Below are 24,119 nucleotides of genomic sequence, written 5' to 3' on the forward strand. Positions count from 1 at the left end.
GCAGTGGCGTGATCACAGCTCACTACAACCTCAAACTCCTGGACTCAAGTGATCCTCCCACCTCAGCCTCTTGAGTAGCTGGGACTACAGGTGCTCACCACCATGCCTGGCTAAATTTTTAATTTTTTATAGAGATGGGGTCTTGCTATGTTGCCCAGGTGGTCTTGAACTCGTGGCCTCAAGCAATCCACCCACCTTGGCTTCCCAAAGTGCTGGGATTATAGGCATGAGGCACTGTGCCTGGCCTCAATCTACTTTGAATAGAACACATTGGAAGTGACACTGTGTGAGGTCTACAGCTTAGGACTCACTTCTGCCTTCATCCTCCCGAAATGCTCCCACTGCCTCATAAGAAAGCCAAGGCTAGGCAAGTGCATGAAGAAAGATCACATGGATGGAGAAGCCCAGCAGACATCAGCATCAAGGCCCCAAGGTATGAGAGCGACTACCATGGACCCTCTGCTTCAGCTGGCCTGCCGGTTTCCCACAGCCACATGAGTGAGCCGACACAGGACCAACAGAACGGACCAGTGAAAACGAAAGTAGTTCTTGTGTAAGCCACTAAGTTTCTGGGTTGTTTGTTACCCAGCAAGAGAGAAACAATAGGAAGAAGGACACTAGGAGCGGCAGCTGGCATTCACCTATGGCTTTGGCCAGGAACCTGATGCTGTTGAGATTCTTCACTTCCGTTCGAACGCCCAAAGGCTCCCCAGGGTGATGCACGGATATATTGGCATCCACTCTCAACTGGCCCTCTGGAAGGAGAGAAGAAAACAACTCCTTAGAAATTCTTTGAGGTGACATAGTCTTTTAAAGGCAGGGAGTGTCAAAGGAAGCAGCATCTAACTCTACCTGCTGTTTAGTTATAGCAGCCTAACTTCAGAGAAGGCACGGTTGGTTCTGAAGTAGGTCGTGGCTGGTACTTCTGGCCACTCGAGAGGGGTTACAGTCCTGAGGCATCTACAGTGTGTGCCTGTACATGTGAACATATACAGATGTGTGTGCTTATGCACATATGGAAGAGAAGTTTTAGATTCGCCAGCTGGAGAGATCTAATTTTTTTGTGCTAAACAAGAAAAACAAAACTATTAAAATGGAGATTGACTCTGCAGTTTTATACTGAAGTTTTTTTTCAAAGTGTCAGAGCTGAGTTGGAGGAAAGGCCTCATATATCTGATAACCCTACACTGCTCTCCATTGGAATGTGGATTTCTAACAGTGATTCCAGGAGATTTAGAGGAGAGTCCTTGAGAATTTGCAGCTCAAGGGCAAGAACTGAAATCTGGGCTTTCCCCCCTCCTCCTTCCTCCAGGTACTGTAATAATCTCTTCCTTCCACAAACATGACTCCGAATCCTTCCTGACTGCTCTAACGATTTGCTACAGCAGACAGACAGCACTGTTACGAAGTCAGGAGTCTGTGGTGGGACTCAGAGAGGTGCTGACCCCATGCTGGGAGGACCTTCTTTGACCCTGGAGGCCCCTCAGATTAGGAGCAACAAGCCCTAAAGAAGCAGGCAATGTGTGGGGAGGACTAAAAGGCTCTTGAGGAAGAGAGAGAGAGAAAAATCCCAAGACAAATAGATGTAGGTAAGAAAGAATCACATTTGGCACCCTACAAAGTAAAGCTCTCAGATTCTCTGTTCCTCGTTTCATTTACAACATTTAAAAGAGAACAGAGTGAGAAGACAAAATGCTGGATTTTATTTTCCTAGTTACGTTTTTAAATTAAAAGTAATCTGCCAAACCTGAGTGTCTTGATGGGCTGAATAAATTCATTTCCCAAGATTCCAAAGCAAAAGCATATTAAAATAATAAAGTAGTCAAAATGAATTCCATGTCAAGAAAAGGAGACCCTTGGAACTGGTTCTCTGTCATTCTCCCAGTGCTGGGCTGTGGGGCCTATACCAAGCTGGAGGTCGCCGGCGGCCCGTGGCTGACACCTCACCACTCACCCTCAGAGAAAGGGAAGGGCTCGCCCAATTGCCACCCGTGCTGACAGGGAAAAGATGTCTCTTAGCTCAGACATTACTCTCTCCAGCACTGACTTCTCAACACTTTTACAAGAATTCTGTAACCCCTGATTTTTAATCCCTTTTTTGACAAGTTGTGTGTATCTGCATCTCAGGAAGTCCCAACTATTCCTGACACCGTGAGACTCTCGGTCTAGGAACCCTGAGGTCATCTTCTACTTCTCTGTTTTCTTTGCCCCTTATATCCAAACTGGCAACTAGCCCCTACCAGTTTGGAAGCTGTCAAATATCACTAATGTCTGTCACGGCCTTTCCATTTCCATGGCTACCACCCTTGCCCAAGGTGCCTCGCCCGAGGTCTCCGAACTTTAGGCTTAGGTGATAAGAGCACATCCTGACTCAACACAGTTCCCTCCTTGTCCAGGGACTGGCAATGTGGCTGTAACTTTCATCCTGCTATATATAGTCTGGGTTCATCATTCCTGCTGTTTACTCAACAGCACAGACAGCTCCTACCGGATTATCTGGGCTCCTCTGCTTGGTGCTCCACAGCTGTCATCTGGATTCAGTCGACATAACCTGTATGTTCCCACTGCTCATTCCGGGAGAAAGCTCCCCTCCAATCAGGGCAGCCTTCTGTATACACAACCCTGTCTGCTCCACCAGCACGCTCTCTTTATCAGAGCTACTGTCCCTCTCCTCATCCCTCAAGGACTCACTTGAGTGTTACCGCCTCCTCCTAGAAGCCCTCCTCAGCAAGCTGGCCTGCACTGGTGGGTCCCCTAAACTATCAGAATACTTATAATCTATACTACAGAATTCAGTACATGACCATAGTCTTCTGTGCACTGGCCTCCATCTTTAAGACCAGAATGAAAGGCCCCTGAGGACTGAGCCAGATTTTAACTCCCACTTGCCTTCTCAAGGGCATCACTCTCAGTTATCCCTTCTCTCCCATACCAGTCATTACTCTTTCTCAGCATTCCATCTGACGTATACATATGCAATAGTATTTCTTATTAAATGAACAAACAAGAACCCCAAAACCTATTCCCTTGAACCCAGTTCTCACTCTATCAGTCACTCATCTATCGTTTCTCTGGTTTCCTTTTCAGCAAAGCCTCTTAAACAAGTTTTGTTTGTTTGTTGCATACACTGTCTCCGCTGTTTCACTTCCCATTTATTCCTTAACCCACGTCAGCCTAGCTTCTCTCCCCATCTCTCTAAAAATGCCCTTGTCAGAGTCACCAACAGTCTCCTGGCTGCCATATCCAGCGGACACAGGACACGCTTGTCTTCACCTACTGGACGCCTCAGCAACATTTGACAAGCCAACCAATCCTTCCTTCGTGAATTATCTTCCTAGCTCAGCTTCTGCTGCCTTTTGCTCCCAGTTTTCGTCCTCTGGATGCTTTGTTTCCATTTCATTTGCTGATGGCTTCCTTCCCATCCAAACCCAGGATCCCCTTCCTTATCTAGACTCTCTGGGTGGACGGATACAGTTTTAAATACCACCTCATGCTGAGGATGCCTACATTTCTCTCTCCAGCCCAGACCTCTCTGAGCTCCACACTTACAGCTCTGGTATCTATTTGACACCTCCACTTGGAGGTTTCACAGGCATCTCAATTTCCAAAAGGAAATCCTGATTTGCCCCTGCACAAAGACATTCTCGATCTCATCTTCCAATTTCGGTAAACAGCACCACCATCTAGCTCCTCCAACTTCCCTAAAGGCATTTGTGCTTCCTCCCTGTCTCTTACCTTCCACACCAGCCTATTTCTAAAAACCATCTTGTATGTCTCTCTTGTCTCTCCTTCATCTTCACTGCCACCAGTGCTGTCCAAAACAGCATCATCTTCCATCTGAACTATTGCAAAAGCTTCTTAACTGGTCTCCTGGCTTCTACTCTTACCCATCGGAAATCCACTTCCCACAGAGCAGCCAGAGCGGTTTTCTAAAACATTCATCAGACTATGTCTTTCCCTTGCTTAAAAGCCTTTCAGTGATTACCACTGCACCTGGGTTGAGAGCTAAACTTCTTGCCATTCTCTCTGATCTACCCCTTGCCTGCCTTTACAGTGTCACCTGATGCCACTGCTCCTTCTGCTTCTGGCACAGTGGCCTTGTGCTACCTCGCTTACCTCGTGGCCCATTCCTAGCTCTTTCTCACCTCAGGGCCTTGGCCTTAGCTGTTTTCTGGAATGCTCGTCTCCTGGCTCTATGCTGCCTGGGCCTTGAATCATTCTTCAGGTTTTAAATACATGTCACCTCCTCTGAGGGCCTTTAAAAAACAACATTGTCACTTTCCAATGTTACTCTGTAGCATGGCACCCCATTTATTTCCTTGAGGCATTTGTTGCTGTAATTAGTTTATTTGTTAATGTCTTTGTCACCCTCCTGAACATAAGATCCATGTGGCAGGAACAACGCCTTTTGTGGGACCTAGAGTTGGGTCTGGCACTTGGTGACTGTTCAATAAATGAAATCTTATTGAGCGACGAATGCCAGAACGCTGGCATTTTCCTGAGCAATGAGTAAGCAGACTGGTTTCTGTCTCACACTAGGTTCCCGGTAAGTTCTACAGTTCCGTCTGAATAGGACTAATCTGCAGTTGGAATCCTCTGAAAGGCCCATTAAGCTCAAAGGAAAACTTCCAAAGTGTGCTGAGCTCCATCGAACCAAATTGCAATACTTGGGAGACAACTTTTTTTGAACTCAGGGAACCATGAATTGGACCTCGCCTGCTTTTAAAAATGAAAGCATCTTTCACAATTTAGAATTCTAATTTGGAAGAGGAATAAAAGCATGAGTTTCGGTCTCTCCCAGAGAAGACTACACTCCATAAATACCTGAGAGGAATCATTTAGTATCCTGCAGTGTTGAAAGAGAGTTCACCAGCCTGGATTCAAATGCAGTATCAAACATTAACAAAAGACATGCTATCTAGTGAAGACAAAATACCTTTTAAACAAATTAAGTTAAATTGCCTCAAGTGCACAAAAGCTTTACTAGTTAGGTTTACTTCAATGCATTCTGCACCACTGAGGGACAGCCTTCATTCACACATCATGAGAATGGCATCAGGCTCAATTTCTATCTTCTAGAAGTAGAGATTTATAACAGCAAAACTAAAAAAAACTATACCACTGAGCACAGTGATAAAGTGCAGTTTCATATTTTTCTCTAAAACACACTCACACAACAGAAATATAACATCAAGATGGAAAACTGTTTCTGCAAACAGCAGGGGCCCAAAGATGCAGTGGGTAAGGTTTGTTAAGCTATCTCGTTCTGATCACTGAAAATAACAAGGTTTGACCAAAAAAAAAGCGAACAAATTTTACTGAACGTATTTTACAAAGCTCACTCATCTAGATGAGTGGTAATTCCATAAAAGTATTACTACTTATTACTGTTAATAAGAGCACCGAACATGTATCCAGCACAGGCTGTTTTCGAGGCCCTGTCCTAAGTTTTCTAGACATTAGTACATTCATTAGTACATTTCTTGACATTAGTACATTCATTGTAATATAGCTTTAGTCAGAAGTCCCCAACCCGGGGGCCATGGACAGGTACTGGTCTGTGGCCTGTTAGGAACCAGATGGCACAGCAGGAGGTGAGTGATGGGCAAGAGAGACAAGCTTCATCTGTATTTACAGCTGCTCCTTATCCCTTGCATTACCATCTGAGCTCCGCCTCCTGTCAGATCAGCCATGGCATTAGATTCTCATAGGAGCACGAACCCTATTGTGAACTGTGCATGAGAGGAATCTAGGCTTTGTGCTCCTTATAAGAATCTACCATCTAATAATCTGTCACTGTCTCCCATCACCCCCAGATGGGACCATCTAGTTGCAGGAAAACCAGCTGAGGGCTCCCAGTGATTCTACATTACAGTGAGTTGTATAATTATTTCACTATATATTACAATGTAATAATAGAAATAAAGCAGACGATCAATGTAATGCACTTGAATCATCCTGAAACCACCCCGCCTTCGGCCCCCCAAGTCCACAGAAAAATTGTCTTCCACGAAACCGGTCCCCGGAGCTAAAATGGTTGGGAACTCTTGGTTTTGGTGACAAAGCCACTGAGCTATTCCCAAGGCCTTTCAAACTTAACCTGCCCAAACTGGAATTCTATGTTTTCTCCCACAAAGTCATTCCTCTCAGCCAGCTGCTGCAACTCCATCAGCTCTATCAGATGGCCTTGATGATTTCCTTTCCTCTTTGGTTTCTTCTTTTCCCCTTCTGTACAAAATTATTTGGGAACATGTTTTTTAAGTGTGGAAAGTGAGGCTCAGATAAATCAAAGCCTGGGAACCTACAGCTAGAAGTTGCAGGACAGGATTCCAAGCCAGATCCAGGACCTGGCAGCCCTTGGCACCCCACCTTGCTATCCTGCCTCTCTTAAGTCAGCATCTGTGATGGTCATGACACTGCCATGGCTGCCACTAGGGAAGTGGTACGAAGCTGTGCTTACAGAAAGGGCTCTTGGACCCAGACACACCTGGGCTCAAGTCCCAGCTCTGTCACTTCTTGTAAGCCTTAGGCAAATAACTCCCACCTCTCTAAGCCTCAGTTTCCTCACCTGCAACAGGCAAACACTACCACCTACTTCTCAGCAATGTCATAAAATGTAAATGAGATGTCAAATTAATTTTAAAATGCCTAGTGAACTGAGGAGCATATATTAAATGTTCCAACTGATAGATATTATTATCGTTGAAACACTTAGCATGTCTACTTCTGTACACATTCAACTTACCAAACTATTAATACTTTGGGCATCTCCACAACAGGGGCAAAAGGCTGTCCACTGAGAATGAAATGACTTGGAACCTGGGCTAAGCTGGTCTATGCTCATCAGCAAAACTATCAGGAACTCACAGAACCACAGCCCAGAAGCAATTAGGCTTCATTCCACAGCACCCTGGGTGTCCACTAGTCTTCAGTGTCACCTCTTCAGGGTGGCCCTCAGCTCCTAAGCTGCAGGCTCCAAGGCCAACACAGTGGTCCTAAAGGGGTGGGAGGAGGGACAGAAGGATGAGCAAAGGAGAGGGGGCTGATAAAATGCTCACAGCACCAAAGGAGCTGGCTCCCTGCAGACTCCAGGCAGACCTCAGCTCCCACGGAACTTTAGAACAACCAAAGCTACTCGGCTGCTGTGTTAAAAGCTGTTGGATTTGTATTTAAAAGAAACAAAAAGTGTCACAACAAGTGAGATTTAATGAACACTCTCAGCTGTCACTGACTGATGAGTTCTTGCCACTATCGTTTATCTCTTGGCAAGGACCCAGATGGGACTATTTCTCAGTTAACAGGTGACCTATTTATGATCCCATAGGGTTGGTAGGAATCACAGTTATTTTGAAGAAGAATGGGATAATAAAAACTTTCTTAAAGCAATCAACACTTGGAGCATAAATGGATAACCATCCAACTTGCCCACATTTCATTTATGTTCTGTGGATTAAAAAAAAACTGGCATGAGTGATAAATCTAAAATTGAGAATTCTCTTACTCTAAAAGAGAGTGTTGTCTCTGTAAAGAAACTTGTAGGCAGCTAACCTTTATGCCACTCAAACTCATGTGGCTGTGTTTTTCCAGTCTTTAAGTAAAATAGCAAATAAGCAAGTTCTGTCCTCAGATTCAACATGTACCAGGGCTCTGATGTTATAATTTGTTGCTTATTACACATCCTATGTGACAAATGTGGCATTACAAATCCAGAAGTCCCCCTGTAACATGCAAATACATTATGTGACATGCTAAGCTTGGTAAACAGTATTATCAACCAGCATGGAGATGAACATCATCATCAACGGGATTTCCTGGGCACCTGCTGTGACCATTGTACAGTGCTATGGAAAAGTACAATTGTAGATTCAGAACCTATATTTTGTCTCCTCTCCATCAGGGTGTGCTCTGAGGGTGGAAGAAGTTTTCAAAAAGTCCCTAGGAACAGAGAACAGGAGAAAATGATAGCAGAGGCTACCCTTTACGGACTTATGGGAGAGCAAAGCAGTACCAGACCAGGGCAAAGGATACCTAGAGCCATGAGGAAATTGAGTGTGACCAAAACCTATGATCTTTATATGTAATTTACAAATGCTTATAATGTGTGGTCTGGTCCCAAGGGTGCAGGTGTTTCTTTTATTTGTTTTAGTTTCCCACTGTATTTCCACTGAACTTAATTAAGATTTTATCTCAGGGTAAAGTTTTCATAATCTTGGCTTATAGTCAATATAATTTGGCTTCCGCTGTATATGGATGAAAAATCTACAAAAGGAAAGAAACAGACCCAAAGGAAAAGAGGCAACTAATTATGAAGTGCTATCTATACGGTACTCACTAACTAAGAACTGTTCTTGATAAACAGTGTCTTCTTCCTGAGAAAGACTGAACTGTTCAAAGCCATTATTTCATTAAGGGTTTGGTGTCTCTGCAATGTTGTTGGTCGTATATTTATATTTGGTTGGGGGCTCATCAAAGAATCCAAGGAAAATTCTAAACAAACAAACAAACAAACAACAACAACAAAAAAACAGGGTTGCAAAAGGCTGGGGAAAAAATGGCTGCAAACAACCTCAATATAATAGACAGAAAATAAAACTAAAGTCAGAGAGGTTCTAGAAGGCAGGAAGGGAGAGGGAAAGAAGAATACTGCTTCTGTGGCTTCTACCTGCCATGTTCGCCTGGCTGGTCCCCAGGGCTTGAAGGATCAGCTGCAGCTCCCTGACAGCTGTTGCCGCCTCTTCTCCACAGGACATGTCGGGCTCCAGGACCACCTCCAGAAGGCCCACTCCTACCAAAGAGGGGCAGAGTCAGCCTCACTGCAGCTCTCCAATTTCACCAACAGAAAAATTAGGCCTAAGTTTCAGGAAAACCCTGCCTTACTGAAGGACTCTCAGAGTGGTTCTAGCCTCTCAATCATTTCTCTTCCCTCCCACCTTTTTTTTTTTTTTTTTTTTAAAGAGGCGTCATCTTGCTCTGCTGCCCAGGCTGGAATGCAGTGGCATGATCATAGCTCACTGCAGCCCTGAACTTTTGAGCTCAAGTGATCCTCCCACCTCAGCCTCCTGAATAGCTGGGGATACAGGTGTATGGCACCACACCTAGGTGTTAATTTTTTGGCAAGTAGGTCTCGCTATGTTGCCCAGCCTGATCTCAAACTCTGCGTACAGTGATCCTCCCACAGCCTCCTGAGTCACTAGCATTACACGTGTAGGCACCTAGGCTCCACGTTTTGATTTTTAAATGTTTCACTTCTTTTAATGACTGCTTAAAATATCCAGCTGCTGGGTCTGTGACTAGGTGGATAGGTTTGTCTAACTTCAGGGTGAGTTATTAGCAAGCCTAATAATTACAGTTCAAGCCATGTTCGCTAGTCAGCTATGCCAATCCCAATGCTGATATTTTAGTCTCCATCTATCAGGCTCCTGTGACTGCTTTCTCAATTTGTTCAAGAAAACTCTAGCGGTGAAAAGAGGGCCCTGCTATCCAAGAACTGAAGTAGGAAGGAGAAATAATGAAAACACTCCAAGCCTACCTGCCCTGTTCAAATCAATGAGCGTCTGAGACCTCAGGTTGTCGTGGAGGCTTTTGCCACTGTCTTGCTCCAACTGGATCTGCTTGATCCTCACCGTCTTGGGGATCACCTGACTCTGCTTCTTCCCTGCACAGACGCCATATATCAAGCTCCCATTCACAGCAATTGGGAGCCTCTGCTGGGTAATTTGGTAGCCTGCCTGCACACAAACATAGGGTAAACATAGTCACTGGTCCACACATAAAAGCTGGGATCCAGTTTACTATCCCTTTTACAATGTCACACAACGACAGGCCTACTTAAAGCAAAAACAACAAGAAAAAAAGGAAAAGGAGAAAAAAATTAGTTGCTGCATTGCAGCCATCATTGAGCCTGGTCTCTTCTGCCCCTGCCATCACCCCTTCACCCTCCCCAAATCCTCCACCCCTGATAACGATGCAATAAACAACACGAATTCATCCCATTGCCCTCATTAAAGTGCTGTATTGGGGAATAACAATAATGTCATTGTCAGGGACCCCTAAGAAAAGAATTTATTGTTTCCATCCAGCTCATTAGCCTAAACTCTGCATCTCATTACCAGGCTCCTGGCAGACCCTCCTTATTTGGAATGCTGGCTAAGCATTTTGCCATCTACTCTCCACACGGCCAACAGCAGTTGCTAGTGTGTGTTTAAGCTTGTTTTGTTTCTGCTTTTTAAAGGAATCAATCATGGCAGCTGCCCTCCCTGACCCAACCTCCCTAGCTCCTCCAGTCAGAAAATGCTGTGACACTCCCCCTCCATTAATGGAAGGCACATGGTACTAAAGCACTGATGGATCCTGCAAGGATCCCTCACCTGCTTCTAAGTGGAAAGGAAGAATTACTTGCAAACGCACAGAGGCACCAATACGCACTAAAGAGACAGCAGGTCAATGAGGAGAATTGGAGAAGAACAGAGAATAAAAGCAAAGGCATCTGTGGCACTTCCTAGGTCCCAGGTGCTGCTCTCACTGTGTTCCCTCAGTTAATTCCACAACAACCCTAGGAAGGAGGAACAAGGCGTGGAGGGATTAAGACCTTGCCCACAGCCACATACAGAGCTAGTGAGCATCAATGTCAATGTCTGAATTCAGATGGTCAGGCTCCAAAATCCGTGTCTTTCACCACTTGGCAGGCCCCCAGTTTAAGAACTTTAACTGCATCAGAAATACTACTGTGCTTGTCAAAAGACAGACTGCTTGGCCCGACCTCAAAGGTTTCCGATTCAGTAGGTCGAGGGTGGGGCCTGAAGATTTATATTTCTTACCAGTTCCCAGGAGATGATGATGTCAGTGCCCTGGGGACCACACTTTGAGAATCCTGCAAAAGGCTAACCCGTTTTCTATGCTGAGACGGGAAGTCTCAATTTGTAAAACTAAGCTCTGGGTAGGGTTGTTGGATAAAATATAGGACACCCAGTTAAATCTGAATTTCAGAAAAAACAACAAATGCTTTATTATATGAGTATGTCCCATGAAACTCTGGATTATTTGAACTATCTGGGCCAGAAAGACCAGAAAGCCACAGATGACCAAAACATCTCATTTTAGTCATATTATTACTAAATCTCCCACCTCAACCAAACTGTCTGTCACTCTTAAAAGATAAAGAAAGGCGGTTTAATTCTTTCCGCCCTACCAAACAGTAGACTTGCTGAGAGGCTGGAGGCCAGAGGGGAAAAGCAGCAGCCACTGGAGAACGCAGGTCTTACTTGTATTTTTTATTTAATTCTACTCGTGCCCTCACCCACTAAAAAACAGCTCGCCCCAATCTTCAGTTCAAGGAGAAAGAGGTGAAGCAACATCATCACTGTTGTTTTTCTGAATCAGACCAAACAAAACATTATTTTGGGAAACCCATTCAACATTTCAGTTTTGTTCCTGTTCAATAGTATGAAAAATTGGCTCTCACTCACATGGTGTGGCTTAAAGAAAAAAACCTTTTAATTTTCAGAAAAAAGCGGGTCAATATGGAGTTTACTGCTCAGCCAAGTAACTGGACCAACAGTTTACTGTTCTTGGTCCAGATTTCTGGTTCATGTTTCCGCTTACTATTGTCCACTTACTTGCTCCTTGTGAGATGACAGAAATGTCTCCAAAGGAGACAGCCCTATTATTGGGAACTTCAACTTAAAAGCGATTCGCTCTCGCTCTGCTGACAGAACTACAGTATGCATTTACTGTTGCATCAGCCAGAGCCTTAGCTTTTGTACTAACAGGCAATTAGCACCAAATACCACGGCCAGGCTGAGCCTGCAAACACTGGCTTCTACTCCCTGTGCAATTATGAGCGAGCCACCAGAAGCATGAGGTAAGCAAGAAGTCAGCAATCAGGACAACTGCATCCGATCTAGTAACCATCAGGGGCACCTGCCTGCATCAGGGCTGGGCCGAACTTCCTGCTGGGATGGACACAGTGCTGGCTGAAAACATGAGAGGCACAGCCCCTTTCCCTTGCTCCGACCCCCCACAGCAGGGCTGGCCCAGCTCTGAGAACTTGCAGTGGGGTGGATCACAAAGTGTACTTACAGGGAGGTCTGCATAGAAGTAGTGCTTCCTGTCAAACAAGGACTTCTTGTTTATGTGGCAGTTCAGAGCCAGGCCTGTCATCACCGCCGCTTCTACACACCTCCTGTTGAGAACCTATGGGAACACAACACACAGTTCCTCTCAGAACCGCAGGCTGAACAAATGCTTCTCCCACACACTGACATCCTCGCTGAATATGCAACTTGGCCCTTCAACAGGCATTATCTCTGGTTCTCTGGGTGGGCAGCTCCAGTTCACAAGCCGAGTCTGTTTGCCTGGGAATCAGGGAAGGATATAAAGAAGAAAATGTATGCAGCAGTGGGTCCCACCGGGCACTTAAGGAACTGCCACATCGGGAACCCTTTCCCCCAGTGCCCGGCATCAAAGCTAACAGGAAGAGTCGCAGAAAAGCTTAGCGGAGTGGTTACTACATAGAATAAATCTAATCTCACTCCCTCTACAAACAGAATAAGGGGCCGGTCAGAATACACAAGAGGCACTGATTGCTGAGAGGAGTCCTGAGGAAGGGTGGCTTCACTTTGACAGAAAAAGAATGAACTTCTGAAAACGACAGGGCCGTAGCCATTTTCTCAAGGGCTAGGAAATGTGGCACAGCTGTTGCCTGGCTTTCTGTCCATGCCAGGCCAACTCCCTAAAAGTGGAACGCCAACGGAGGGCCTGTCCCACACACTGGACGACTCCGTGCTGCTGGTCTCTCTGGGGGCACCTGGTGCTCCAGTTCCCTCTGGGTGCCACCCTGTCCCACTTACAGGAGTGAATGACCAAGAAATGGCTGGCACACTTCCCAGCACCAAAGAATGTCAAAGCTTTTAAGAACACTGGGGGTCTGGAACTAGACAACGAGATAATGTAGCCAAGGAGAAGGAGCATTAAGTTCTCGAGTCAGGTTCAAATCCCACTTCTGCTGTGACTAGGAGTCTCAGTTTCCTTGTGTCTAAAAGTGGGATTTAAGATCTACTTTGCAGAACAGATAAAGTGATAGCTGGAACACCTCCCCTAAGGTAGAGATTCAATAAATAGTTCATTTCCCTACTCTACTTTGGGACAATTTTGGAGGATGTCATGTTTGCAGATGAAATATATTTCTATTTTTGTTAGGATATTTATGATGTTCTTTAGTATATTTAATATACTATTATTGATATAGATAGGGCCTTCTAGTTGAGCATTTCCACATCCACCATTTTATTTCAGCCTCACAGCAACGCTGTAAAATAAGGAATCTGCATTATTCCAATATTTCAGATTAAAAAAACAAAACTAAGACCCAAAGAGTCTAAAACATTTGCCCAAATTCACAGAACTGGCAAGTGGTAAAGCTGCCTGTAAAGCCCACACATGCCGTGGCTGAGAGGCGGCAAACAGAACTTCTGTGGTTCAGGGACTGGCTCTTTAGGCTGGGATGACGAGTGTAGACCAAACACAGATTTTAAAAACAAATTTCTACAACAAAATGGAAGGGGCATTTCTATTTACTGCAATATACGGTCCCCAAAGAAAACCCAAACAAGGGCCAGGCGTGGTGGCTCATGCCTGTAATCCCAGCACTTTGGGAAGCCAAGGCGGGTATATCACGAGGTCAGGAGATCGAGACCATCCTGGCTAACACAGTGAAACCCCGTCTCTACTAAAAATACAAAAAATTAGCTAGGTGTGATGGCAGGCACCTGTAGTCCCAGTTACTTGGGAGGCTGAGGCAGGAGAATCACTTGAACCCGGGAGGTGGAGGTTGCAGTGAGCCGAGATCTCGCCACTGCACTCCAGCCTGGGCGACAGAGCGAGACTCCATCTCAAAAAAAAGGAAAAAGAAAAGAAAAAAAGAAAACCTAAACAAATCTCCCGCCTAGTGACAACATCACACCCTTATTTTTCAGGACTCAGGTTATAAGATGGAGCCATTTCACAGTTTCTATTTGGAGTTCTTCATTCTGTGCCTAATAATGTCAGCTCTGCAGCAATAAAGGTTTTCAAGAAAAGATGTGTGGGGAACAGGAGGCTCTAATTATTGATGTTTTCACTTGCCTAATGTCTGGCATTTTACTGAGCGGTTGTTACTGAGATACAAACATAGCTGGTGGAGAATCCCGCCAAATCCAAGCCTGATGATTCGGGTCCAGGCACACAGAACATGAAGCTGCAGTCCCGACCCTGGGCTTTGCTCTTCCTGGGGTCAGAATGCAGTCAGCCAGGGCTGGCTCGTAAACTGCCTGACTCCTGGTCTGCACCAGTTCTGCCTCATCATTCCCTCTGCTTTCCTAACCACTGCTTTCGCTCTCATTTCAAGCTTCTTTGCCCCTGGGACCAAGCTGCTTCCTCCTGCTAGGCATGAAGAGAACCCAGGTTATTTTGTTTGTTTATTTTCAAGCACGCACCATAGCCTCCCTGTGGGAGAAGAGTTGAGGACCATCACAGACTCTCACTGTGTCCGTGTGCACACAAGCGCACGGGCACTTCATAAACCACCACTTTCCAGAGAAGAAGGCAGTAAAACACACAAACATTACAGTGATACTGAGAATATGCTTTAATCTTTTTTTGATGATTTAGAAGCCATGAAGTACTTCAAGGTCAGAATTATAAGCATCAGTCATCACACGTTACAGATGCACAGAGGGCCCAGTAAACAGAGAGTGTCAGTTAGAAGAATGCCAAGAAAAAAAGGAATTTCCTAGGATCTTAGTCAAGCTGCTTGTGACAGATGGAAGTCCAGGTCAGCATGTTCTGAGGATAGGATACAGAATGGGAAAATTCAACTTGGGCTGTCTTCACTCTGAAAAAAAAAATTCTTAAATGTCTATAAAGCACTAAACTTTAGGGGTACATAGATAAATAGGACTCTGTCTCTGCCCTCAATGAATCCGCAGTGGTGACATGAACCTGCCAGCATCTGCAAACCCTTTTCAAGTTTGTCTTTCATACTAGGGTGATCCTGCTAAAATTGTGGATCTGTGGCATTCTGTTACCTGAAGTCCCTCAATGGCCCCTGATGTTCCCACGACAAAGGCCAAGCTCTTACATGATCAAACTCCTGCCTACATCTTCAATTTCATCTACCACCATGTCCCCCCACAACACCTCTGCTGTAGTTCCTCTGTGCAAACCGTGCTGATCTTCTGATTCTCCCCATTCTTATTCCCTTCAAAATCCTAGTGGGACGTCACCACTTCTGTGAAGCCTTCCTTGTTGTCCTTTCTGTGTACCTCTTCTGACCTTCTACACACTCCCATTGGGGCTTCCATCACAGTGGATTGAATTTGTTCACATGTAGTTCCACACAATTGCACATTTCATGAGGACGGGAATTGTCTGTTCACCCTTGTATCCCTGGAGCCTAATACAGAACCTGAAAAATTGTGGTATTTGATTAATGTGTGCTGAGCTCAAAGGAGGAGGGAGGGGATGATATCAATGGACGATTTCAGAGAGGCAGTGATGCCCCAGTCTCCTCTAAGGTGTTACCTGCCACATGCTGGCCTGCAAACTTGTTTCTGGAAGTGCCCTGAAGTGACAACTGATTGTGTGTGATACGATCAAGATGTAATTTAAAAACTAAAAAGACTAACTTGGCTTGAAGAAAGTATGTTCCAGAATTTCTCTGTAATTAAATGACTACAAAGGATCTCAGGGTTAGCCATAGCAGCTCTCGTTTGGAAAGAAGGCAGTAATTTTTGGTACTCACGCAGCACACCTTTCTCAGCTGAGCCTTCAGAGGCTTCTTTTTGGCTTCAGGAAGGGTCAGCAGCGAGTATTTATTGTGCACTGACACTGTGTCAGGAGGTGTGCTGCACATCACACACACATGCCATTGAATCCTCTCATTCCTAGGGTAAATACTATTATGATCCTCATCTTACAATGAAGGGAAGCATAGAGATGACACAGTTTGGTCAGGGTGACACATGGAAGTGGCAGAGCCAGGAAGTCAGATCCCAGAATCCAGGCTCTCAACCACTATATTCAATCTGAAATCTTACAAGAAAAAAGCATGTTAGTTTTAGCTATCAAGACTACTAACAGCAGGCCATAACTCCAGAGCAGCACCTCAACCCAAATCCTACTGTACATCATTTAAGGCAGATGCTATTTCTAATGTGTTTCTTCTTGCCAGTTTCTCCCTCTTTAGATTTGTTTCCAGATGTTGAACTCTCAGAGGGCAAGCATTGTGTTCTTTTAACTACATGAAAGAATTGAGTGTTCTTTCAGTGCAGTCTCTGGCATGTGGAGTGCTTGGTGATGGGTGACCCTACATGTTTTCTCAACGAGCAGAGGATGTTCTATTGCTAGACTTCAGAAACCCTTAGACACAGGCACCCATACAATGATTTATCAAATAAGAGGCTAATTCTTCTATTTAATCAGAAGATGAGAAAGCTGTGATGGGTAGAGGTAGGAGATGAGATAAATACACAGTGGGTGGCCAACAAATTTTATGACTAGTAGAGAGAGATAAGGCACATAATGGCCAGGAAAAAGATCTTGGGGTGGTGGGTGGTGGGAGTAGCAAATGATTTTTAATAAAGAATTGCTTGTCTGGCTTATTGTAAGACCTGAGTAGTGCTGCAATCATAATTGTTTGAAACCTAAGATACATCTAGCTCATAAGGCAGCATAAACAACTCAGAGTTTGCATGAGACCTCTAAGGGGACACAGCGACCCCAATTTGAGAAACAGGCTTCTAGTTTTAACATTTATTTAGCTAAACCAGACAAATATTCCATGATCTCTGAGACCATCATTTAACAACAACTCCCAACACTTTCAAACAAATCACCAAGTTCTACACATTCTACTTTCTTAACATTTCTTGATTTTTCCCCTCCTCCTCTTGCCTTCAGTTTTAATTCAGGTCTTTGTTTAAACACCACCCACTCCCACCAGGACTTCTGCCACTCACCACCTGGCCAGGAGGTTTCTCTGCCTCCATTTTCAGCCCTCTAGTCTCTCTTCCACACCTCTCCTAAGGTGACCTTTTTGAAGGATAAATCTGTTCATGTAATTCCTCTGCTTAAAATCCTTTTCACTGCTTCCCAGTCCTAACAGGATAAAGTCCAATTGCCTGGCAGAGGCTTCAATGCTCTTTGTGGTCTACCCCGACCACCTCTCTAGCTTCCTCTTCCTCCAGTCCCCCTGACCACCATGCTCCTGCAGCCAAACGTGACACATGCTTTCATACAAACTGCTGCTTCTGCTGGGAATGCCCTTCTTCCTCATCTGCTTGAGCAAGATCTTAGTATCTGGCAAGACTTTCGGATGTCACCTGTTTTGTGACATCTTTCCCACCACTACTACAGTCTAGGTCTTTCTTCCATTTAGCTCCCCTGGCACTTGGGGAACACACTGTTTCCCCAAACAGACTGAGTTCCCTGAGGGCAATCAGGTCATTTTGTCTTATTCTTCTTTGCCCCATCACCTAAATATAATACCAAGCTGATTAAATGAGATAATGAATAATTTAACATTTCCTTTATCAACATTCAAAAGACTATAAGCTGTGACATAAAAGCAAATTGTTCTACAAAATGTATGAATCAGGAAAAGGAAACCACTCTTTTAACACAGAGGCTTTATTACACATGAGAGAAGAGCTGAAACGTCAAAGAGGGCACATTTGGGCAAGTTAAGAGATTCTCAACAGCAGGAGGCCACTCCTATCACAGGGTATTGGGGCCATCAGAGGATGCTGGAAACACACTAGAAGCTGGAGCCATGGGTAAGACCCATCCTCTATCAGAGATGTTGCTGGAGGCAGAGCAAAGGCGAAATACCCTCTTGCTCCTTTCCTCCTACCTCTAGTCTTCTATCAGAGCCTCCTGCTGGCCTAACCCAGCCAGAAGCCAGCCGAGCTGGGGCTCTAGGATCTGTAGCCTGCAGGAGCAGCCTCCCTGCCATTCAGAGTGGAGCAGCAAAGTGGTGTAGCACAGAGCTGAGAACACACAGGCCATGACTACCTCAGCAAATACATACAGTTCTATGTTCATTTCTGTCCTTTTTTCTTTTGATAAATAAACAGCTATTCAAAAAAACAATGCCACTCTCTAGTCTGTCCAATCAACTTAAAACTGAACATTTTGTGGACACCCTTTTCACATGCGTGGAGCCAAGAATTATGAAATCCAACTAATTTATAAGGAACATTTGTGATAACTCATCTGGATTGAACTCAACTGTAAATCTACATTAAATACCAGGAAAGGGTTTGCTAAGCAAATTAACAGAATAAAGAAGATTATATAACTTACTTAAGTCCATAAAATATTCTCTAGGATTTTAGTACTTTTATGTGAAATTCCACTAATTACAAATAAATCTATTCACAAAAGCCAGTCTCTAGGATCTATACTGAGAAATATCTTGTTATGTACTTCAAAGGAATAACATTGAATGTCTTTCTAAATAGTCCTCAATTCACACCATTTCTCTCCCCTTCCTACTTTGCCCTCAATTGGTGAGCCCATGATGCTGTAACACCCAAAGTTAGTCCAATAAGTATCAGCACATCCTTAAAAAATTGAGGTGACATGGCAAGACTAGAGTCCTTACTGAAAATCCAGCTGGCAATTCCTCTCAGGCATCAAAACAAAGAGTAGAAGGTGATGTTTTCCAAAAAGCCCACATGGCAATTACTCTGTGAAACTGATGCTATACATGACAAATCTGATAATTAGGATATAGCATGGTAAATGCTTTAATTTATGGAGAGAAAGCAATTAAGATTTATTAAGTAAAAAGAAGGCAGTAAAACAGGCCTTTATCTTACTGCTAACCATAAATTTGTCTCAAAGCATGAACTCCCTCTGATTCATATTCAAAGCAAAAGTTACCACACGGATAAATTTTCATTACAGTTGAGAATATTGCTCCCCTGTTTCCGCACCCCTACACCACTTCTCACCACTGAGCCCTTTTATCATCACCCAAAACAAATACAAAACCTCTTGTGCTATAATAATTAAGCTTGCTGAAACTGGTCAGTTAATTTTTTAAAGTGGAATTTTACCATCCAAAGGTACTCCTTTTATGCAGGTATTAAGTATTTATATTAACAGAACCACATAAATATATATGTTCTTTATCCTTAAGCACAGGCATTGCCTAGGGACAAGGAGAATGTGAAGGCTACATTTCCTCTTTTGTTTAAATCCCTCTTTCCCGAAGGGGAAAGAAAATCAAATAGCCATCGCACAGGAAGCAACTCTGATTCCAAAGAAGAGAAGTGTAGTCTGGCAGGTTCAACTATCCTCAGTTCCCAGTTTTCTCCTATTCTGAGCTCTCTTATACTAATTCCATTCCCCAGGGGTGGTCAGGAGCAAGGGGAGGAAATTTTCCTTGGTCCAGAGTGTCAAAAGTCCCATTTTTCTCATCTGGGATTCCATCCTCTTCCTGTCTTTGCCTACCTAGCAAGCTCAGGAGGCCACGGTCACCATGAGGCACTTGATGTCAGCATGGCTTTTGGCACTGGGGCTATCTCTCTTTTCTTTTCTTCTTTTTGAGACAAGGTCTTACTCTGTCGTCCAGGTTGGAGTGCAGTGGCCCGATCACAGCTCAAGGCAGCCTAGATCTTCCAGGCTCAGGGGATACTCCCACTTTCGCCTCCCGAATAGCTGGGACCACAGGTGTGAGCCACCATGCCTGGTTAATTTTTTAATTTATATTTTGAAGAGACGAGGTCTTGCTATGTTGCCCAGGCTGCTCTTGAACTCCTGGGCTCAAGCGGTGTGCCCGCCTCAGCCTCCCAAAGTGCTGAGATTTCAGGCTTGAGTCACCATGCCCGGCCCTTTATTGCTTTTCCATGTACCACTGGAATACTAAGATCTGAGATTTACCTCAGGGATTTTAGAAAAAGGACAGAAAAGTCTTTGGCCTACATCAGTCCTAGGTCCACCCCTAATATGGATGAAAAGAGCTCTCCCATGATACAGTTTGGTTTGCTTGGATTTCACTTTGGGATTGGAGGCCAATGGCCCAACTGCTACGGCATACATTTGTGAAATCTCATACTTGGCCAGTTAGCCATGTTAGATAGGGAGGTTACAGTGGTTGGTGGCCAGTAAAAGACAAGACTGGGTGTGTAGATTAACTGGTCTCTATTCCTTGTTCCCACAACATTCTCAACAGTTACTAATCTGGCATTACTCACTGGTGATTAACCTGATCTCTGAGAAGACATATACTAATTGATGAACTAGGGCAAAATTTAGTCAGAAAGAACAGAATCTGAATCTTACTCCTCACACTAGCCATGTTATCTTGCACAAATTACCTTACCTCTCTAGGCCTCACTTTCCTTATCTGTTTAGGGAAGAATAGTTATTTGGCAGGATTGTTCTATGAATTAAATAAAATAACTTCACACATAGCAGACACTTAGTAATATTAGTTTCAGAATGAAAATGTTATTAAATGCAAAGTGCCTATCTCAATCGAATCTTTCATATGTTAACTTTTCCAGGAGGCATGGGAATTTGATGTGAAAAGGGCTAAACAGCTCCACAGATCTATTAGTCTGGATTTATAATCCAAAATAAGGCACAACAGATGCTGAAATTATGTATTATGTCAACATAATATTTCCCCCTTAAATGATAACCAACACCTTTTGTGATAATTACTTGTGTTATCTCCAGTGGACTGGAGACCATATTTCTTAATGTCTCAGGGAGCTTACAGGACTTCATTTTCTTTGTTTCATAATGAAGCAAAAATTTCCTGGATAACCTTGTATGCCTTCCCATGGCCAAAAAAAGCTCCCATGTGCACTAAAAGAAACGAGCTTCTAACAGGCTGAAGTTACAAACCAGTTAACTGAGCCAATTTTTACTCCCATCTCATTCTTGCCTGCCACACATCTGTAACTTCCTGTCTTCTAAGCTAGTAGCTACTTTTGAAATTCAATGAGAATTGATGAAGAAGAGATGTATAAAGGATATGGGAATCATGTAAAAACACAAAACCAAACAAACAATCAAAAATATTGTTCTTTTTGAATACAACTTTAGGATATGGCCAAGATCTTTAGTGAAGAAAGATTTCTCCTACTTCAACTCTGAATATTTGTCTTTCTCTTGTTTATAACTTTTTTAAAAAAAGTATATTAATATTTAAAAAGCTAAAACACAAACTCATTCATCTAGATTTGCCCCATACTGAAACTGTCAAGTCTTTTCTGATGTGTCCTAAAATTTACTCAAGAGACTCTACACCTGGAGAGATCTGATGCAATGACAAACTATTTCACATCACTGAAACCTCAAGAGGAATCAGTGATAGTAACAAGAAACATTAATTTCATGACTGAAAAGCTCTAATAATCAGAATGAGATTTACTTTCTTCTTTATATATAAGATTAGTATTAAGTTGAAAGATTTGACTATTGCTAAGAAACAAAACAACTGTCTTGAACCAACCAAACTCTAAGTAAGAAATGCAGCTAAGTATTCACTATTGATATGAATACAGGATCAGGTATGAACGAGGCCTATGAATATCAGAAACAAATTCCTAGAGATACGTGCCATTTTGTCAAAAGTGCACCTGCTATATATTCACCAGCCTCACAAATGTCCTGAGAAGTGAGTCTCTGGAAGAGTCTATCAGGACAGAGACTTTTAGGAAGAAAAAGCTACCTTTAATTTCACACATCCAATAGGAATGCATATAGCATCATCTTAGAGGCTTCTTAGTAAGTCATAAAATCATGGAGGTTCGTAAGAGAAAGAAAGAAAAAACTGCAAACTTTCATAGGGCAAACTCCCTATTTCCTTAATTATGTTTGCTTTAGGAGTAGATAGTAAGATAAAATAGCTGGCCTGGGCATTTCAAAACTGTCAATGTCATGAAGAAAGGAAAGAAGGAAGAGAGAGAAAGAGAGGAAAGGAAAGGAAAAGAAACAAAAAGAAAAAGGACTAAAGAGACATGACAACTAAATGCAATGGGTGCTCTTTGACTGGATCTTTTATTGGGGGAAAAATAAAGGACAATACTGAGACAACTGTGCAAACCTGAATATGAACTATGTTTTAAATAACAGTATTCCATCAACAGTAGCTTTCCTGAGTGTGATAATCATACTGTGATCATAGAAGTGAACATTTTTATTCTTAGGAGATAGCTGCTAAGATATTTAGAGAGGAAGTGCCATGATGTCTGCAACTTACTCTCAAATGGCTCATCCAAAGGAGGAAAAAAAAAATCTAGGTGCAGGATGGATTTCATTGTGCTATTCTTTCAACTTTTCTGTAAGTTTTAATTTTTTCAAAACAAAAAATGTTGAAGAGAGTGGAAGTGTTGGGTAATTCTTCTATCTAGGTGAGATGGTACAAGCCTCCCACACAAAACTCAAGGAATCTATTAACTATGAAGAGAAGAAGGAGAGTCCCTAAAGGAGGCAGGAGCTATTGAAACTGATGCTGGTCGGATCATGGCAGACGGGAGGCAGGACTAGATTGCAGCTCCAGACAGAGCAGCATGCGGAGGCTTGCATTGTGAATTTTACCTCCAGATCAGCTGCAAGAGCAGGCCAGCAATCCTGAGAAAACTGCTCCTACAGGACCCGGGAGACACCCCAAATACTCTGGGAAGTGGAAAGCCTCAGGCAAGTTTTCAAGCCCCACCTGCCCTCTGCCTGGAAACAGACTCGGGGTGTGGTGGGAGTGAGACTGGCCCTTTGGTTTGTGTGGGAGCTGGGTGAGGCCTGTGACTGCCAGCTTTCCCCTTCTTCCCTGACAACCCGCATGACTCAGCAGAGGCAGCCATAAATCCTCCTAGGCACACAACTCCAGTGACCTGGGAATCTCATCCCCATCATCCACAGCAGCCGCAGCAAGACCCGCCCAAGGAGAGTCTGAGCTCAGACATGCCTAGCCCTGCTGCCACCTGATGGTCCTTCCCTACTCAACCTGGTAACAGAAGACGAAGGACATACAATCTTGGGAGTTCTAGGGCCCCGCCCACCACTGGTCCCTCTCCATACTACAGCTAATGCTCTCTGGAAAGCACCACCTCCTGGCAGAAGGCCAACCAGCACAAAAATAAAGCATTAAACCACCAAAGCTAAGGACTCCCACGGAGTCCACTGCACCCTCTGCCACCTTCACCAGAACAGGCGCTGGTATTCACGGCTGAGAGACCAATGGATGGTTCACATCACAGGACTCTGTGCAGACAGCCCCCAGTGCCAGCCTGGAGCCACGAAGACTCACTGGGTGGCTAGACCCAGAAGACAGACAACAGTCACTACAGTTCAGCTCAAAGGAAGCCACATCCACAGGAAAAGGGAGAGAATATTATTACATCAAGGGAACACCCCATGGGACAAAAAGACCTGAATAGCAGCTTTCAGCCCTGGACCTTCCCTCTGACAGAGCCTACCCAAATGAGAAGGAACGAGAAAACCAACGCTGGTAATATGACAAAACAAGGCTTTTCAACACTCCCCCAAAATCACACTAGTTTACCAGCAATGAATCCAAATCAAGAAGAAATCCCTGATTTACCTGAAAAAGAATTCAGGAGGTCAGCTATTAAGCTAATCAGGGAGGGACCAGAGAAAGGCGAAGCCCAATGCAAGGAAATCCAAAATATGATACAAGAAGTGAAGGGAGAAATATTCAAGGAAATAGATAGCTTAAAGAAAAAACCCTCTCCCTCCCCCTCCCCTTCCCCCTCCCCCTCTCCCCACGGTCTCCCTCTCTCTTTCCACGGTCTCCCTCTGATGCCAAGCCGAGGCTGGACTATACTGCTGCCATCTCCGCTCACTGCAACCTCCCTGCCTGATTCTCCTGCCTCAGCCTGCCGAGTGCCTGCCATTGCGGGCGCGCGCCGCCACGCCTGACTGGTTTTCGTATTTTTTTGGTGGAGACGGGGTTTCGCCATGTTGGCCGGGCTGATCTCCAGCTCCTAATCACAAGTGATCTGCCAGCCTCGGCCTCCTGAGATGCCGGGATTGCAGACGGAGTCTCGCTCACTCAGTGCTCAATGTTGCCCAGGCTGGAGTGCAGTGGCGTGATCTCGGCTAGCTAC

The 24,119-nt window shown here is 44.2% G+C and overlaps 1 protein-coding gene across 2 annotated transcripts in view; it reads right to left on the reverse strand.

Annotated features, from left to right (window-relative positions):
- Positions 1-24,119, reverse strand: part of GATB (glutamyl-tRNA amidotransferase subunit B) — a 90,504-nt gene that overhangs the window by 36,843 nt on the left and 29,542 nt on the right. For both annotated transcript variants that reach the window (NM_001363341.2, NM_004564.3), the window contains exons 3-6: positions 12,079-12,192; positions 9,530-9,728; positions 8,663-8,785; positions 642-755 (exon numbers count right to left, since the gene is read on the reverse strand). In NM_001363341.2, the coding sequence (NP_001350270.1) occupies positions 642-755; positions 8,663-8,785; positions 9,530-9,728; positions 12,079-12,192 (550 nt within the window). The remainder of the gene's footprint in view (positions 1-641; positions 756-8,662; positions 8,786-9,529; positions 9,729-12,078; positions 12,193-24,119) is intronic.

Source organism: Homo sapiens, chromosome 4 (genome assembly GCF_000001405.40).
Source record: "Homo sapiens chromosome 4, GRCh38.p14 Primary Assembly".
Lineage (NCBI taxonomy): Eukaryota > Metazoa > Chordata > Mammalia > Primates > Hominidae > Homo > Homo sapiens.